The sequence below is a fragment of the Homo sapiens genome, chromosome 1, assembly GCF_000001405.40.
Source record: "Homo sapiens chromosome 1, GRCh38.p14 Primary Assembly".
In the NCBI taxonomy this organism is placed as follows: domain Eukaryota; kingdom Metazoa; phylum Chordata; class Mammalia; order Primates; family Hominidae; genus Homo; species Homo sapiens.
Window position 1 is genome coordinate 111,660,995 of NC_000001.11, and position 20,130 is coordinate 111,681,124.

Here is a 20,130-nt window from a genome sequence, read left to right on the forward strand (position 1 = left end):
CCCATTGCTTTTTGTTTTCTGGAACACTTTACCAGCTGACTTGTTTCTGGCAGGAGAGTGCATGATGCATTGGAGAAGATGTAAGAAAGCCAGTTGGCTGGAGTGTTGAGAATGAAGGGAGCACTGTTGTGAAATAAAGCCAGAATGGGAGTTAGGGACCCAACTGTGCAGACCCTTGTAAGCCATGTTAACATCTTTGGTCTTTATCTTTAAGGGAAATGGGAAATCACTGAAGTATCTGAACTGGAGGGATTCGGAGGAGGTCACTAAGTGATTAAATTTGTCATTTTACAAAGTTCATTTTAGCTTCATTATGAATATATTGGAGGGGGAAAAGATTGGATGTAGGGAGATCAGATGAGAGGCTATTATAGGGATCCAGGTGTAAGCTGATGGTAGCTTATTTAGTCTGTTATGGTTGATGGCCATACAAAAAGAATGATTCTCTGAAGTAATGTATTTATATACATCTGTGGTCAGCAATTCATAACTCCTGATTGCCAGGTTAAGATTTCCAATTTAGGGGCCGGGCACAGTGGCTCATGCCTGTAATCCCAGCACTTTGGGAGGCTGAGGCGGGGGGATCATGAGGTCAGGAGTTCGAGACCAGCCTGACCAACATGGTGAAACCCTGTCTCAACTAAAAATACAAAAATTAGCCGGGCGTGGTGGCGCATGCCTGTAATCCCAGCTACTCAGGAGGTTGAGGCAGGAGAATCACTTGAACCCTGGAGGCGGAGCTTGCAGTGAGCCGAGATTGCGCCACTGCACTCCAGCCTGGGCGACAGAACGAAACTCCGTCCCAGAAAAAAAAAAAAAAAAAGCAATTTCCAATTGAGAGGATCTCTTTTTGGTTCCATGGTAAGAAAGTAGAATGACTTTCCCAACGTAATTCTTCAGAATAAACCCTAGAAATTCTGTTAGTCAAATAGTTATGTATCTTTTTTTGTGTATTTCTTAGCATTTGGCACAAAATCAAAGATTCCTTATTAAACCAATTATTATTTAATGGTCACTTCTAGATCCTGTTCAAACTGATTCATCTCTCATGAAGGCAGGGCTTTAACTAATTTCCTTGTTTTTCCCAACCTTCTCTCATCTGAAAAAATTAACTTGATTGGCCGGGTGTGGTGGCTCACGCCTGTAATCCCAGCACTTTGGGAGGCCGAGGCGGGCAGATCATGAGGTCAGGAGATTGAGACCATCCTGGCTAACATGGTGAAACCCCGTCTCTACTAAAAATACAAAAAATTAGCCGGGCGTGATGGCAGGTGCCTGTAGTCCCAGCTACTCGGGAGGCTGAGGCAAGAGAATGGCGTGAATCCGGGAGGCGGAGCTTGCAGTGAGCAGAGGTAGCACCATCGTATTCAGGCTTGGGCGAAAGAGCGAGACTCCATCTCAAAAAAAAAAAAAAAAAAAAAAAATTAACTTGATCAGGGCTAAGATTGTTCCTCAATCAGATGTTTTCAAAACAAAGGTGTCTAGGGGGTGTTATTTCTCTTCACAAAATTAATAGCTCTGGGAACAAAAAATTTGTGTAGAACTGTAGCACTTACGAGGATAGGAAACTCATAACACTCTGGCCATACTAAGAGAGATTTGATGCTCTTATATGAGCAAACAGATTTAATAAACAGCGATTCTAATAGTTTTCTAATGTGGCAGTGTTTTTATCAACTAAAACATTGATTCTCTTCACTTTAGTTTGGGAAGGAAAAAAGCATTAAGCTTCTGTACCTAAAATATGTTATTAAATATGTTGTTTACTTAACAGAAACCAGTGAGGTATCTTAGTCCAGCTTTGTTGTGTAAATAAAGAAGTTGAATATTAATGAGGATAAATGACTTGTCTTGGCTCACACAACTTATAGATCCTGATTTTGGACCCAGATATTCCTGCAAAAGTCTCTTTGGTTTTGTTGTTGTTGTTGTTGTGTTTTTGACACAGTCTTGCTCTGTCGCCAGGCTGGAGCAAGTGGCATGATCTTGGCTCACTGTAACCTCCGACTCCCTGATTCTAGTGATTCTCCTGCCTCAGCCTCCTGAGTAGCTGGGATTACAGGCACGAGCCACCATGCCCAGTTAATTTTTGTATTTTTAGTAGAGACAGGGTTTCACCATGTTGGCCAGGATGGTCTTGATCTCCTGACCTCATGATCCACCCGCCTTGGCCTCCCAAAGTGCTGGGATTACAGGCGTGAGCCACCGTGCCTGGCCAAGGCTCTTTGTTTTTGATCAGAGGTTGTTAATTTGGGTTCCCTGGTCTCCAACATTTCCCTCACTTCCCCCAGTGTATATATTCTTTTCAAATAACTGGATTTACTGGATTAAGGAATACAATAAAGTTAAGAATCAATAAATTTGATTATACTGCCTCCTGATTTGGGGTTCCTAATCTGACAGTGCTTTCCATTCTTGTCTTGCATTACCTTTCCAAAATTCTTCTCAAAATATCAATAACACTCTAGTTACATTAATAAAGTAGTGATAGTAGTATTTTTAAGTGGATAATTGCCAGGCACTCTCCTAAGTGCTACATATGCATTATCTAATTTGGTGTTCACAGCAACATTGCTGAACTATGTCCCTTACTTTAAGATTAGCCCTCCATCTAAATGGTCTCACCACATTTTAAAGATTGCTTGGATTAATTGAATTACCGAATATAGTGGAAAAGGTCTTAGGCATTAGTGTTAGACGACACCTAGCTTTGAAGCCAAGGTCAACCCCTTTTTTCTTTCATTCAATAAATGTTTATTGAGCATCTACTATTTTCCAACTATTGTTCTGAGCACTAGGAATGGCATCTTTTATCTGCATTTTGAAGGGAAGATAATGTCTGCCTTGAAGGTTGCTAAAGTCTAAGAAAAAGGCACTTAAAAAAAAAAGGTTTGCTTCCTTGCCCTCCTAACTGATCTTCCTTCTCTAGTTTTTCATTCCTCTGTTGCAATCTACAGAGTACTCATAGAGCTTTCTTTTTTCTCTTCAAACTCTTGCTCAAAAGCCTTAGATGGCTTTTCTCATCTGATAGGAAAGTTTCAAGTTCATAGGATGTCATAGAGGAACTTTTATAGCCTGCTATTTAAAACCATATATGGGCCAGGCACGGTGGCTCACGCCTGTAATCCCAGCACTTTGGGAGGCCACGGAGGGTGGATCACCTGAGGTCAGGAGTTCAAGACGAGCCTGGCCAGCACGGTAAAACCCTGCCTACTACAAATACAAAAAAATTATCCGGGCATGGTGGCACATGCCTGTAGTCCCAGCTACTTGGGAGGCTAAGGCAGAAGAATCGCTTGAACCAAGGAGGCGGAGGTTGTAGTAAGCTGAGATTGCGCAACTGCACTACAGCCTGGGCAACAAAGTGAGACTCCGTCTCAAAAAAAAAAAAAAAAAAAAAAAAACAAAAAACAAAACCACATATGTACTAAGTCCTTTCCTCTCTCACCCTTTCACAGTAAATGCTCAGGCCACCTAGACTTTTTTTTAAATATAAGTTTTCTATTAGATCATCACAGAGTCTCTTGAGTCTCTGCCTTTTTTCTGGAATTCCATGTCTATAACATTCTGTCTACCTACACCCCCTTCCTCTCCCTGGGCTTCAAGAAATACATACAAAGTACACAGTGAAAAATCTCTTTTCTTTCCATGTCCTGTCATTCCTCAGCTTCCTTCCCAAAGGTATTCTATGCATATACAAGTTTTATGTACATGAATGAATACAGGCAGATTGGCATGTTAGATTGTGAACCCTGAAACCAGGTTGCCTGAGTTTAAATCGTGGCTTTTCTTCCTAGATATGTGACTTTGGGGATATTACTAGTATCTGCCTTGTAAGCTTATTGTGAGGATTTCTTACAGCACTTCCTGGCACATGGTAAGCACTCAGTAAATGTTTGCCATTACTATTGTTGTGTTGTTGTTATATAACAGCATAATATATTCAAAAGAGAGCAACATTTAAAATCTAGAGACATAGGTTTGAATACAGCTTCCTAATTACTTTATGCTTAAGTCATTTAATCCAAGTTAAGCCTTGTATGTTTCTTTATAGTGGGGGTAATGACATATAGTTTTGGTTTTGATTACCTAAAAAATAAAAAGGAAAGAGCATTGTAAGTGACAGAATGCTATATAAAGTTTAGTTGCTGTTGGTTACACGGTTTTACTTTCCCTTCAAGGAAAGGTTATAACATTTTAGCTGGATAATAGTTTGAAAAACAAAGATATCAGAAACTTAGTTATAATTATGCATTTTTACTTATAATTATTCCAAATTTATACTTTTTCATTAGCTTTGGCATGCTTTAGTTTTGGTCATATATAGTTTATGTGGCAGTGCTGTTAAGGGAATAAAGTTAGAGAGTGAATACCTCTATTTATGGAAATGTATCAAGATTCCAGAATTGATAAACTTAGCTATACTTGGCATAATTTAGTACACCTGACCAAATGTATCTTTTAAGGAAAATAATGTTTTGGTCAACCTAGAAAGTATTAGTCATGGCCTTAAATTTTTTCTGCATGGTTTACAAATTTTTTGTTTGTCTGCAATGATAATAGTTATACTGAAGAATATTCACTTTACTTAAGTAGATGGTAATACATTTAAAAAGCAGTCTTTCATTTCCATTTCACTTAGTCAAACATTTACTGGTGATGTGCTTTTGATGATTTGCTATGTTGCTAAAACAGGATATGCATTCACTGTTTTTTGACAGCTCATGGATCCAAGAGCACATGTAGTTCCTAAAGGCACAGAGTATAGGATATTTTTGGATACTGTGATATTCCCCCCTTTCTTCTGGTAATTAGAAGCATTCCCAGTATTAAACATTTAGGAGGAAAAGTTATAGTCAAAGAAGACCATCTCTTTCTTTTAAATCATTTTAATATGAAGCATATATTTTACTTTAGAGCTTTAAAATGATTTAAAGTAACAATTTTAGTAACCTTTGGGTTTGTCTTGAAAGTATTTTCATTTCATTTGTTTCTAAAATACTTGTTTCTCTGAAGAGAGAAGATGGCTCAATCTGATGACATACGTAACCGTGATGACTGACAGTTTAAACTGAAATCAATAAAGGGAGAATAGTTTTTAAATGCATTGAGACAAAGCATACAGGAAAGATATAATTTTGTATAATCTTTTGTTGAAGTCTTCAAAACAGTACAAGTGTTATTTGCCTCATGACATGAAAATTCACAGTAAACAAAGCTATTATATTTGAATTTCACAAAAATGTTTACTTTCTTAGTTATCCTTCAGAAAAAAATTCAGAATGATGACTCTTCTCAAATTAAGTATTTATACTAATACCTGCAAAAACTGTCATTTAGGGATTATTTGTACAGTTCTATGTGGTAACACTCAGCCATGCAACATGTGCATATATTAGTTTCCATATGTAAAATCTGGAATTACTGAAACAATCTGTCTTAGACTTTTTTTGATGAAGAATTAGATTAAAAACTCCTTATTTATAACAACATGGTAGTCATTGAATGTAAGAACTCAGATCACATTGCAGATATTCTAAAAATAGAATGTAAATTAGGTTTTAACACTAATTCTGAGATTATTATATGTGGCAAATAATTTGAATGATATTCAGCAGTCTAATTTAGGTAATCAAATCACAGAGATTTAAAAAAAAAAAGCATTGATTTGCATTTGTGATCAGTATTGCTTAGGAAAAATGCCTGATACTATAAGAGTATATAAAGTTTTGACTCAAAGGGGTCAGGGAAGCATATCTTAGGGAATTAATACTTGTGCTCAGATCCAAGGAAAAGAGCAGGCATTATTAACTAAGTGGAGAAGGAAGAAGTCATTGCAGGCAAAGGGAATAGCTTCTGCAAAAGCCCTGTGGCAGAAGGGAGCATATCAGGTTTAAGAAACTGAAAGATGGCCAGTGTGGCTGTCATAGAGAGTAAATAGGGATATGGAGCAAGATGAAGTGGATACAGGCCAAATCATTAGGAGCTTTGAGAACTTGGAGTTTAATCTTTACCCTATGAGCAAAAGGAAATCATTTAATTTTCTGTTTTGAAAAGATCATTCTGGCTGCAATGTAGAGGAACTCAAGTGAGCAACAATGGACTAGTTAAGAGGCTATTTCAGTAGTCCCAGGAGGTTGCTTAGGCTAGAGTCATGTAGTGGAAAAGAAAAGGAACTGACAGATTCTTTGCCTGGAGGGTAACGGTTCTTTGCTCAGGTCATTCTGACACTCCTACCCTCCTCTCCTGTTTCTCCACTCTTTAAAAAAATGGCGATAGAAAATACAAAGTAGTATTCTGTGATTAAATTATCACACTTTTATTATAGATTATATTCTTGATAACTAATATTCATAATTTTATGTTGAGAATATTATAAAGAAATGTTTTCATCAAATGTAGATTCATGGCTGGGCATGGTGGCTCACTCCTGTAATATCAGCACTTTGGGAGGCCGAGGCGGCTGGATCACTTGACGTCAGGAGTTCGAGACCAGCCTGGCTAACATGGCGAAACCTGTCTCTACTAAAAATACAAATTAGCTGGGCGTGGTGGCCCGCACCTGTAATCACAGCTACTCGGGAGGCTTAGGCAGGAGAATTGCTTGAACCTGGGAGGCGGAGGTTGCAGTGAGCCAAGATCGCGCCATCACACTCCAGCCTGGGCGACAAGAGCAAGACTCCGTCTCAAAAAAAAAAAAAAATGTGGGTTCATGACTTCTCACTGTGAAGAAGTGCATATTGGCCATTTAAGATTTTTTAAATGAAGGTCCCATTTTACAACTGGAAACCTAAAGGAACAGTATCAAGGAACTGACATAAGATATGCTCAGAGGCTAAAAAGTAAGTGAAAGCTAGACTCAGCACTCAGAGCCTATTTTTGTCTTGATGGCACCTACTGAACCAGCTAAACCTGGGCTTATGGTTTCATTGCCTTCGCAGACATAGAGGATAGGAGACTAAGCTCAGTCTATGAGGAGACTCCACCGAGTGTCTGTGCACCCCTCCCCACCCCTACTCCTGCCAACTCCGAGGAAACTGGACTGTCACAAATGTTGGCACTAAGTTGAAGTGGTGGTGCAGGTTTGGGGGTTGTTATTCTTTGACATTTTATAGTTGCAACCTAGCCTTTATGTTTCCATATCTAAATCACACTTTTTGGGTTAGCCCAAAAGTATCTTAAAATTTGACTATGGTTCAAAGTAATTCTGGCCACTAGTAACTCCAGGCACTTGCAGAAGCAAATGCACATCACAGTAAAAGATCACACAACTCAAAAAGAAAAAGAGACTGAAAATACGGATTATCCAGGATAACAGACAACTGAATTGGACCCCCATTGACTTCATATTTTGGAATTATTAGACAGGAATTTAAAATCAGTGTGTTTAGCGAGGTAAAGATTAAAAATATAAGAATGATGGGATTATGATAGCTAACATTTTGTAGTGCTTCCTATGAACCTTGAACTCTTCAGTACTTTACATGTTAATTAATCCTCACAAAAACTCTAAAGTAGGGTTTATTATTATCCCCATTTTACAGGTGAAGGAATGAAGCACAGAATGGGGATGTAACTTGACCAAGGTTAGTAAAGTAGTAGAACCAGGATTCTAGCCAGGCGGTATGGGTCCTAAAGTCAGGCTTTTAACCATTTTACTATACTGCTTATAAGAAAGATAGCGAGGTTATGAGAAGTTACAAATAGCTTTTTTGTGTTTAGGGGGAGAACTTTTAGAAATGAAATATATAGGCTGTATGCGGTGATGCACATCTGTAATCCCAGCACTTTGGGAGGCCAAGGCAGGTAGATCACTTAAGCCCAAGGAGTTCGAGACCAATGTGGGCAACATGGTGAAATCCCATCTCTACAAAAAAATACAAAAATTAGCTGGGCATGGTGGTGTGTGCCTGTAGTCCCAGCTACTTGGGAGGTTGAGGTATGAGGATCCCTTGAGTCCAGGAGGTCAAGGCTGCAGTGAGCTGTGCCACTGCGTTCCAGCCTGGGCAACAGAATGAGACCCTATCTCAAGAAAAAAAAAAAAAAAAAAAAAAGAAAGAAAAGAAATGTATAAATAAAAATCTTAAAAGTCAATGGACAGGCTTAACAATAGATTATAATTAGTGACCTGGAAGATGACCTGAAAAATAAGTTAACCAAAATAAAGAGACAGAAATGGAAAATATGTAAAAAGGAAAAAAGAAAATTGGACAACCATAGCCTAAATTGCTAGTTTTCCCTGATACCATTCTGTGTCTAATAAGTAGTGGATATATTAGTTGGATGCTCTGTTGCCTAGCTAAAACTTCTGTTTCATTGCCTTCCTGATAGTGAGATTTGACTATGTGACAAGGCTTTGGTAATTTGGGGTGCAAATTGAAATGTGTGTAACTTCTAGATCATGCCTGTGAGAGGAAAGGGGATATGCCGTTTTCTTTATCTTTCTTCCTGCCCATGAACTGGAATGTAAACATGGCAATGAGATATTTTTGCCTGTGTAGAAGGGGGCAATACTCTAAGGATGACAGAGCAATAAGACATAAGAGCTTGGCTCTCTCAGACTACCTAGCTGCCAAACAAGAGTGTCATGTGAGAGGAAAATAACCCTGAATTTTGGTTAAGCCACTTTTGAGTCTCTTATTAACAGCAGCCAGTGTCTACATCTTAACTAATCCAAGAAGAGCATGAAAAGGTCTAATAGTTGTCTAACCAGAATTTCAGATATGAAGAAAAATCAAGTAGATACAGTATTTAAGGAGATTACAATTAGAATTTCCAAAACTGCAAAAAGATACAAATTCAAGAAGTCAAATCCTAAGCAGAGTGAATAGAAATGTAAACCTAAAGTCTTCATAGTTAAATTTGCAGATGATCAGAGATGTCAAAAATAACCAGAAGGACAACACAGATCACTTTCAAAAGCTCTGCAATTAGGCTAGCAGCTGACTTATTGAAAGGAAAGTAGAAATCAAAAGACAGTAGAATAGTAACTACAGTGTACTCAGAGTAAATAACTATTAAAGCTAAAATATCCTTGAAGAGTGAAGCAAAGTTTTCAGATAAATAAAACTGGGAGTTTTTTTTTGTTCTCACTATTTGCACAGCACTAAGAAAGATTCCAAAAGATATACTTTAGGTAGAAGGAAAGTGACCCCTAATGGAGGATCTGAAATATTAATTAGGAAAGAAAAATGGTCCCAGGCGCATTGGTGCATTCCTGTAATCCCAGCACCTTGGGAGGCCAAGGTGGGCAGATAGCTTGAGCCTAGGAGTTCGAGACCAGCCTGGGCAAGATGGCGAAACCCTGTCTCTACCAAAAATACAAAAAAATTAGCCGGACGTGGTGGCATGCACCTGTAGTCCCAGCTACTCTGGAGGCTGAAGTGGGAAGATTGCTTGAGCTCAGGAGGCGGAGGTTACAGTGAGCCAAGATCATGCCACTGCACTCCAGCCTGGGTGACAGAGTTGAGACTCTGTCTCAAACTAACAAACAAAAAAACCAAAAATGGCTGAAATTATTGAGGCAGGTATCCAACTTAGGTTAGAAAAACATTAGAATAAACTAAAGAAAGGAAATAATAAACATAAAAGCAGAAATTAAAGAAATAGAAAAGAGGTCTACAATGAAACATCAACAAAGCCAAAGTTGGTTGTTTGAAAAAGACTAATAAAAGTAACAAACCTGGTAAAATGACCAGAAGTAAAAGAGGAAGGGCACAGATAAACAATCCGAATGAAAAAGGAGATATAACTAAAGATGTGGCAGATTTTTATAAAAGAGAGAAAAGTGCACACACTAACACATTTTTGTGCAGGGAATAATTTCAGATGGTAGATTATTGTATCTGTTGTCATAATAGTATATCAAGTCTATCAAGACGACTTGTCAAACTTGCCAAAAATTTTACTCTTGAATATGTAAGATGGTTGGATTAAATATTTTAATCCTTTACTTGAATATTTGGAGAGTTACAAAGGTGCAATGAATCACATAACTCTGCTTCAGTTATACTTTACTAAAGATTGTGGTAAAGATTTATCTGGGGATATAGATATGGATAAATTTCTTTAAAACAGTAGAATATGTGTTCCCTTTTAATACATAAGGAAGATGAGGGGAAATGCGTAAACCTGAGAAATTGTGGAAACCTTGTATTTTTAAAAGGCTGGCTGGAGTACAGTGGTACAGTCACAGCTCCCTGTGCCCATAGAACTCCTGGGCCCAAGCGACCCTCCAGCCTCAAAGGTGAGAGCCACCACGCCCAACTAAAACATACTGTTGTGTGAAGATAGAATTCAAAGGGCTAGATGACCATATCTAGATATGTTTTTAGAGTGGATTGCCACAAATGAAAGTTGCTGTATTTCAGGAATTCTGTTGTTTTTAAATACTGACTTCATTTAAAACAAGAAAACACAAAATCAGCTATTCATAAAAAGTTTGCCTCATGTAAGTCAAGTATACTATTTTCTTTTCTTTCTTTCTTTTTTTTTGTTTTTGAGGCACTCTCATTTTGTTACCCAGGTTGTCGTGCGGTGGCGTGATCTTGGCTCACTGCAACCTCCGCCTCCCTGGTTCAAGCGATTCTTGTGCCTCAGCCTCCCGGGTAGCTGGGATTACAGGCACATGCCACCACACGTGGCTAATTTCTGTATTTTCAGTAGAGACAGGGTTCACCATGTTGGCCAGGCTAGTCTTGAACTCCTAACCTGAAGCGATCCACCCGCCTTGGCCTCCCAAAGTGCTGGGATTACAGGCATGAGCCACTACGCCCTGCCAGCTCCAGTAATTTTTGACATGTTACATTTTAATTATTATTTAGTTCAAATTGTTTAATTTCCATCTTGATTTCTTTCTTCACTTATGGATTATTTAGAATTCTGTTTCATTTACAAACATTTGGGGATAATGTGGTTATATTTTTATGTTGATTTCTAGTTTAATTTCATTTTGGTTAGAAATTACACTCTGTATGATTTCAGTCCATTGAAATTTCTTGAGACTTGATTTATGGCTCAGCATGGTCTGTTCTAGTAAATTATCCATGTACACTGGAAAAGGATGTATAGTTTGCAGTTGTTGGGTGTGGTGTTCTATATGTCTCTTAAGTTGATTCATTATCTGCTCAAATCTTCTATATATCCTTCCTGGTTTTGTCTTCCCTTTCTGTCATTTACTGAGTAAGTTCTGTTAAATTCTATTCATGATTCCCATTCTGTCAAGTTTTGCTTTGTATGCTTTAATTTATATTTAAATTTTATTTTTCTATTGAGTGCTATTAACATAAATTAATATTAACATATTTATATACATGGATTGTCTGACATCTTTCCATTTATTTTCAGTTTGTTGATCTGTTCTTTGTTTCTTTGAGATTGTTATTTAGGATACTGCAAGAAATTCATAATGTCTTGGGTATAAAATTAGGGAGTAGCTCAGCTGGGTGAATCGAGTCTAAATCTCTGATGATGTTGCAGTAAGATGGTTGCTGTCTGGGATCATCTTGAAGCCTTTATTATTCACAGATGTGGGAAGACAGAAACAGCTGGGACTCTGGCAACCATGTCTTTCTCTGTGGTCTCTCCAAAGTGGTGACTGCACGGCAGCCTAACACTTAGGACTCCATAGATAGGTATCCCCAAAGAGAAAAAATTCAGGAGGAAGCTCTGATGCCTTTTCTAACCTAGCTTAAGAATTCAGACAGCAGCACCATGTTGGCTGGATTTTGTTCATTGCTAACCCTGCCTGTATTCAAGGAGAGGGGAATATGTTTTTTCTTTCTACAAGTTTTTTAGGATTTTGTCTTTGTTTTTAGGGTTTGGAATTTTAACTACAATATGTTCAGGTGCAAGAATCTTTTTTCTTTCCTCTTCCCACTGTGTTTGGCATTCATTGGGTGTTTGAATCTGATGATTCCTAACTTTTCTTAGTTTACCTCTGGAAATGTTATTCTGCTGTTACTTTGGGTCTGGTGTTCTTTCTACATTCCCATCAGATAGCTGGTGAAACCTTTGGGTGTATCCTCCTTACCTCTGTCTTTCATACATTCCATCTCTCTGCTCTTTTGTTCGGCACTCTCTGGTTTGTGTATTGGTATATTTATGTGATTTCACATTACCAAAAAGTACAGTTTTTCTTATGATGTACTCTAAAGAGCACTGTCCTTTGTTGTGGAAAGTTAAATCTTACCATGATTTCCATATTCACTCCCCTCCCCACCAGCATGTTGTGGTGAGTTGCCAGTTTTAAATATTTATGATCCCTGTAAATATTTAAAGATAACTAATAATATACTGCTTAAGAAACTACCTTCACTGTTCCTTAATGTAAAAAATTTTTCTCCAAAGTTTCTGATCACTAAATTTCCTTTAATGAATTTTGTTTTATAAGTTCAGTTCTACAGGAGAAACTTTTGTCTGTAATACATTCATTTATGTTAAAAATTGCAGAAACAACAAAGTTGGGATCAATTTAATTCACAAAGACAATCAAGTCATATTATTTTTGTAAATGTTAGAAGTAGGCTTCCTGAAGGAAGAATGAAGAGTTAGATTATAACTTGGACCATAATGTTAGGGACTCAGAATTGACTTAAAATTTAAACATAGTGTAATGTTTATTCCTGTCTTCCATATTTGTCAGGGAATCTTAACCAGAGTAAGAAATTTTCTGGTGCTGTGTCGGGAGTGCAGGGCACAAGAGATTTCCATAAAAAGGCATGGGATTTGCTTGGAAGAACATAGAGGTTTTCTAACTTGGCAGTAATGAGTTAGAACTAATTCCCCTTAGAAAGAAAAATTAACTTACATTCTTATTGGGAGTTCATTTGTGTGTATGCTTTCTTGTGTGACCTATTTATTATATTTGTGAGTGTACCTGTGTGTATACATTCGTGACCCATGGTGTTTGTTAGGTGTAAATAAAATTTTCTATACATACTCTGTGAAAAATGGCTTTGGAACTTGAATGTCTTGCCATTTTAGTTGAGGAACAGGGGCCAAATATTTTGTTGTTGCAGAATATCCAAAATAATTTGACCATCTCTGAGTTCTTTCCCTAGTTTCTGTTGCTGTAGAAAAGCTGGAGGCATTTGGGGAATATAAATGATCCATGCTATATTAGGATTCTGTCTTGAAAGATACGCATTTTTGGATTAGAGAGATGATGAATTCACATCTTGTTAAAATGTCAGCGATCCCCAGACTGGAAAGGGGGTAGGGATGTAGGCATCCTTTTACGTGAAATATATGCTCTTGTGTTTAGCTGTCAGTATTTTTCTTTTCATGGACATCACTTTTTTTTTTTTCATGGAATCACCTAATACAGATAGAGGTATAAGATGCCTAGTGTCCCACACAAAACTCTCCCACCTCACTCTACCTTTTCAAAAATGTGGTGGTTATTTTTAAAGGCTCACCCAGTTCTTACCTTGCTTCTCTTTCTCATTGGTTGACCTCATCCACTGCTATGGTTTCAATGCTACCATCTTGACCACCATTGACTCCCGAGTCTGTACCTCTAGTCCATTGGTTTCTACAGAACCTCCAGACTTGGCTTTTAAAATATCTATCAGATACCTTTACTTGTTCTTCCCATAGGAATCTCATAGTTAATTTTTGGAAGAAAGTATTATCTTTCTTTTTAAACCTCCTTTTGTATTTCCTGTCTTAATTGGAGGTAGGCTATCAACCACTTACTTGCTCAAGCTAGATACCTAGGAGTTATCACTGACTCTTCTTCATTCCTTTTAGTAGCTTATCAGTTATGGAGTCCTGTCAGTTTTATCCTCAGAAAAGCATTGCCCCTCTTCAGCCCTATTGCTCCTGTACAGGCCCGTGTCATCTCTCACTCGAGTTACTGCAGTAGCTTCCTAGCTATTCTCCCTGCCTCTAGTCTCTTCTTTCTTCAGTCCATCTTGCATACTGTCAGTTGTTTTTCCAGAATACAAATCTAATCATATTAATTGTTTTTAAATCACTTTGTCTTTTCCCCGTTATTTACTAGATAAAATATGAGCTCTTTAACATGACAAATGCCGAGCTATGTAGTATCCCTGGATCTTTTGTATTTAATTCTTTAGTGTGTTTGCTTAAGCTGTTTCCTTTGCTTGGAATGTCCTTCTAAGCATTATAGCTGAAATATTCCTATTCAGTTTTTTGCTTAGCTCTTCATATGAGCTAGTCAAAATTTAAAAAACTGTCCTGGGCCGGGTGTGGTGGCTCACACCTGTAATCCCAGCACTTTGGGAGGCCGAGGCGGGTGGATCATGAGGTCAGGAGATCGAGACCATCCTGGCTAACATGGTGAAACCCCGTCTCTACAAAAAATTAGCCAGGTGTGGTGGCGGGCACCTGTAGTCTCAGCTACTCGGGAGGCTGAGGCAGGAAAATGGTGTGAACCCAGGAGGCGGAGTTTGCAGTGAGCCGAGATCGCGCCACTGCACTCCAGCCTGGGCGACAGAGTGAGACTCTGTCTAAAAAAAACAAAACAAAAAAAACAGCCTGGAGTCTCCTCTGTTCGTCCATCCTTCCCTAGCCCATTAATTTTGTCTTGTACCAGCTTTATTCCCATTGCTTTGTAGTTATTTGTTTCTTTCTCCTTTATAAGCTCCTTGAGGATGGAAAACACATACTTTTCATTTTTGTTTCCTTGACACCTAGTACAGAACTGGTACCTAGAAAATACTTTGCAAATGCCTGATTCAGAATAATGATATTTGCCATTATGTCTGCTTTATAGTGTCCTCACTATGTATGTATATTAGTTCATTTTCATGCTGCTGATAAAGACATACCCAAGACTGGGCAAAAGAAAGAGATTTAATTGGACTTTGAGTTCCATGTGGCTGGGGAAGCGTCACAATCGTGACAGAAGGCAAGGAAGAGCAAGTCCCATCTTACGTGGATGGCAGCAGGCAAAGAGAAAATGAGAATCAAGTGAAACAGGTTTCCCCTTATCAAAGATCTTGTGAGACTTATTCACTACCACAAGAACAGTATAGGAGAAACTGCCCCCATGATTTCAATTATCCCCACCTAGCCCTGCCCTTGACACGTGGGGATTATTAAATTTAAGGTGAGGCTGGGTATGGTGGCTCACGCCTGTAATCTCAGCACTTTGGGAGGCTGAGGACAGGCGGATCATGAGGTCAGGAGTTCGAGACCAGGCTGGCCAACATGGTGAAACCCTGTTTCTACTAAAAATACAAAAATTAGCCAGGCATGGTGGTGGGCGCCTGTAATCCCAGCTACTTGAGAGAGTGAGGCAGGAGACTCACTTGAACCTGGGAGGCAGAGGTTGCAGTGAGCCGAGATCATGCCACTCAAGCCTGGGTTATAGAGAGAGACTCTGTCTCAAAAATAAAAAATAAATAAGGTGAGATTTGGGTGGGGACACAGAGCCAAACCATATCAGTATGTAACTGGTATTCTGAGAAATTTCCCAAATAAATAATTCAAGGTGAGATTTGGGTGGGGACACAGAGCCAAACCATATCAGTATGTATCTAGTATTCTGAGAAATTTCTCTCTTTCCCGCATTGAATTAACTTAAATTAACTTTTTAAGCTGTGATTTACATGTAATAAAATGTATATATTTTAAATAATTCAGTTCAATAAGTTTTGGTAAATAAATATACCTATACAACTATTACCACAATCAAGATACAGATCATTCTCATCACCCCAAAAAGTATCCTCATGCTCCTTTGTAGCCATTACCCCTGTGCCACCACCACTGGCCCCAAACAGCTTTCTGTCACTGTTTTATCTTTTCTAGATTTTATTTTATCTTCTCTAGATTTTTTTTTTTTTAAGAGACCAAGTCTTTCTCTGTTGTGCAGGCTGGAGTGCAGTGGTACAATCTCAACTCACTGTACCCTCCGCTTCCCATGTTCAAGCAATTCTCCTGCCTCAGCCTCCCGAGTAGCCAGGATTACAGGTGCGTGCCACCACACCCAGCTAATTTTTGTATTTTTAGTAGAGATGAGGTTTCACCATATTGGCCAGGCCGGTCTCGAACTCCTGACCTCAGGTGATCCGCCTACCTCGGCCTCCCAAAGTGCTGGGATTACAGACATGAGCCACCGTGCCCGGCCTTTTCTAGATTTTTATAAAAGTAGAATTACAGAATATTACTCTTTGTGTCTGTCTTATTTTGCTGAACATGTTTTTGAGATTCATCCATGTTGCAAGTAATTCATTCCTTACATTCATTACTGAGTAGTATTCCGTCAGTTGGATATATCACAATTTATCTACTCACCTCTTGATAGATACTTGGGTTGTCTGTAGATTTTTGGCTATTACAAAGACAGAAGTTGAAGTTAACATTGTTTCTCAGCTTGGCTTGTTGAAAATAATGTCTTTTACACATTGAATTACTTGTGTTAATGATCTATTGCTCTGTAACCAATTGACCCAAATTTTATTGGCTTAAAACAACAATAATCATTTTTTTTCTGTCAACAGTTTCTGTGGATCAGGGATTTGAGAGTGACTTGGTTGGAGGGTTCTAGCTCATGATATCTCACGAGGCTGCAGATATTTGTTTTAAGGCTAAAATCAAGATAAGCTTCAAAGGTGGTTCACTAACATAATTGGCAAGTTGGTGCTGGTTCTTGGTAGGAGTCCTCAGCTCCTCTTCAGGTGTGCCTCTCTGAAGGGCTGGTGTTCACCTGACATGGTGACTGGCTTCTCTCAGAGCAAATGATCCAAGAGACCACACCACAACCTGCGGTGCCTTTTAGGATCTAGACTTGGAAGTCACATATTTTAGCTTCTGCCGTATCGTATTGGTCACATGACGAATCTTGATTCAGCATGGGAGGGAACTTATTCAAGGATATGTATAATGAGAGGGAACGATACAAGGTATGAATACAAGGAGACCAGGATCATTGATTGAGAGCTGTCTTGCAGGATGGGGTGTCACAATATACCTTTATTAAAAATGAATTAATGTGTTGCTGTGTTTCGACTTCTGGACTTAATTTGGTTTCCCTGATTTGTATGTTTGTCGTTATGCTGATATCACACAATATGTATTACTACAGTTTTATAGTCTAGAAATCAGATAATATAAGACTTTGTTCTTTTTTAAAACCATATTAGCTTTTCTGAATTATTTGCATTTTCATATAAGTTTTAAAGTTATCTTGTCAGTTTCTACAAACACTGCTGATTGAGTTTGCATTGAATCTGCAGATCAACATGAAGAGAATGACATCTTACTAATAATATGGGCAAATACTAATATATGGCATAGCTCTCTATTAAGTCTTTAATTTCAGCCATGTTTTGTAGTTTTGGTATATAAGTCTTGCACATATTTTGCTAAATGTATCTCTAAGTAGTTTCTTACTGGATGTTTTTGTAAATGGCATTTTTTTTAATTTCAATTTTCAGTTCTTTGCCAGTGTATAGAAATACAGTCACATGTTGCTTCATAATGGGGAGAAATGCCTTGTTAGTCAATTTAATCATTGTGTGAACACCACAGAGTGTACTTACACAAATCTGGATGTATAATATAGCATACCACATACCTAGGCTGTATTGTATAGCCTACTGCTTGTAGGCTACAAACCTGTACATCATATTACTGTACAGAATACTGTAGGCAGTTGTAACACAATGGTATTTGTGTGTTTAAACATAGAAAAGTTACAGTAAAAATGTTATTATAATCTATAAGACCACCACCGTATATGTAATAGAGTCTGTTGACTGAAATGTCATTATGCAGCACATGACTGTTCAGGTGGGTTTTTTTTTTTGTATCAACTTTTTATCCTGCAACTTCGCTAAATTCACTTGTTAGTCTGGTAGCATTTTTGTATATTCCTTAAGATTTCCTACATACAGGATTGTCATCTGTGGATAAAAGCAGTTTTACTTCTTCCTTTTGCATATGTACTATACCTAGCTTAGTGCAATGTCAATAGAAGTGGTAAGAGTAGACATATTGATACAATAAAAAGAAAAACCATATACTATCAGTAAATGCAGTAAAAGCATTTTGGGAAAAAAAATCCAACATCTTTTCCTCAGAACCCAGATAAATGAAAGCTCTTAAGAATGTAAAAGTGGGGGTTCCGGGTAAGATGGCCGAATAGGAACAGCTCCGGTCTGCAGCTCCCAGAGAGACCAACGCAGAAGGCAGGTGATTTCTGCATTTCCAACTGAGGTACCCAGTTCATCTCACTGGGACTGGGTTAGACAGTGGGTGTAGCTCATGGAGGGCTAGCAGAAGCAGGGTGGGGCATCGCCTCATCCGGGAAGTGCAAGGGGTCAGCGAACTCCCTCCCCTAGCCAAGGGAAGCCGTGAGGGACTGTGCCATGAGGAACGGTGCTATTCAGCCCAGATACTACCCATTTCCCACAGTTTTTGCAACCCGCAGACCAGGAGATTCCATTGGGTCCCTACACCACCAGGGTCTGGGGTTTCAGGCACAAAACTGGGCGGCTGTTTGAGCAGACACTGAGCTAGCTGTAGGAGGTTTTTCTTTTCTTTTCTTTTCTTTTTTTTTGTACCCAGTGGCACCTGGAACCCCAGCAACACAGAACTGTTCACTCCCCTGGAAAGGGGGCTGAAGCCAGGGAGCCAAGTGGTTTTGCTCAGCAGGTCCCAACCCCATGGAGTCCAGCAAGCTAAGATCACTGGCTGGAAATTCTCTGCACAGCATTCTGAAGTTGACCTGGGACACTCCAGCTTGGTGGGAGGTGGGGCGTCTGCCATTACTGAGGTTTCAGTAAGCAGTTTTCCCCTCACAATGTAAACAAAGCCTCCGGGAAGGTCAGACTGCAGCATGGCAAAGCCACTGTAGCCAGACTGCCTCTCTAGATTATTCCTCTCTGGGCAGGGCATCTGAAAGAAAGGCAGCAGCCCCAGTCAGGGGCTTTATAGTTAAAACTCCCATCTCCCTGGTACAGAGCACCTGGGGGAATTGGCAGCTGTGCACACAGCTTCAGCAGACTTAAATGTTCCTGCCTGCCAGCTTTGAAGAGAGCAGCAGATCTCCCAGCATAGCACTCAAGCTCTGCTAAGGGACAGACTGCCTCCTTAAGTGGATCCCTGATCCCTGTGCCTCCTGACTGGGAGACACCTCCCAGTGTGTCCAGAGTTGGTTCCTTCCGGTGGGTTCTTGGTCTCGCTGACTTCAAGAATGAAGCCACGGACCTTCATGGCAAGTGTTAACAGCTCTTAAAGGTGGCACGGACCCAAAGAGTGAGCAGCAGCAAGATTTATTATGAAGAGCGAAAGAACAAAGTGTCCACATCGTGGAAGGGGACCCAAGCGGGTTGCGACTGCTGGCTGGGGTGGCCAGCTTTTATTCCCTTATTTGTCCCTGCCCATGTCCTGCTGATTGGTCCATTTTACAGAATGCTGGTTGGTGCATTTACAATCCTTTAGCTAGACACAGAGCTCTGATTGGTGCTTTTTTCAGAGTGCTGATTGGTGCATTTATAATCCTTTAGCTAGACATAGAGTGCTGATTGGTGTGTTTTTACAGAGTGCATTTACAATCCTTTAGCTAGACGCAAACGTTTTCCAAGTCCCCACTCGACCCAGGAAGTCCAGCTGGCTTCACCTCTCACCAGCAGGGGTTGACAGACGCCTCATACAGGAGAGGTTCAGCTGGCATTTGGCAGGTGCTCCTCTGGGATGAAGCTTCCAGAGGAAGGAGCAGGTAGCAATCTTTGCTGTTCTACAGCCTCTGCTGGTGACACCCAGGCAAACAGGGTCTGGAGTGGACCTCCAGCAAACTCCAGCAGACCTGCAGAAGAGGGGCCAGACTGTTAGAAGGAAAACTAACAGAAGGAAAACTAACAAACAGAAAGCAATAACATCAACATCAACAAAAAGGAAGCCCATGCAAAAACCTCATCCAAAGGTCCTCAGCACAAAGACTAAAGGTAGATAAATCCATGAAGATGAGGAAAAACCAGCACAAAAATACTGAAAACTGCTGGGTGTGGTGGCTCACGCCTGTAATCCCAGCCCTTTGGGAGGCTGAGGCAGACGGATCGTGAGGTCAGGAGTTTGAGACCAGCCTGGCCAACATGGTGAAACCCCGTCTCTACTAAAAATACAAAAGTTAGCCAGGTGTGGTGCATTTATAATGGT

The 20,130-nt window shown here is 39.5% G+C and overlaps 1 protein-coding gene across 6 annotated transcripts in view; it reads left to right on the forward strand.

The window, feature by feature from the left end:
* The window catches only part of RAP1A (RAP1A, member of RAS oncogene family), a 174,683-nt gene that overhangs the window by 118,986 nt on the left and 35,567 nt on the right, over positions 1–20,130 (forward strand). For 2 of the 6 annotated variants that reach the window (NM_001394066.1, NM_001370217.2), the window contains one exon: positions 3,798–3,877. The exons of the other annotated variants lie outside the window; for them this stretch is intronic. The gene's annotated coding sequence lies outside the window, so the exon portion shown is untranslated. The remainder of the gene's footprint in view (positions 1–3,797; positions 3,878–20,130) is intronic. 6 annotated transcript variants of the gene reach the window in all.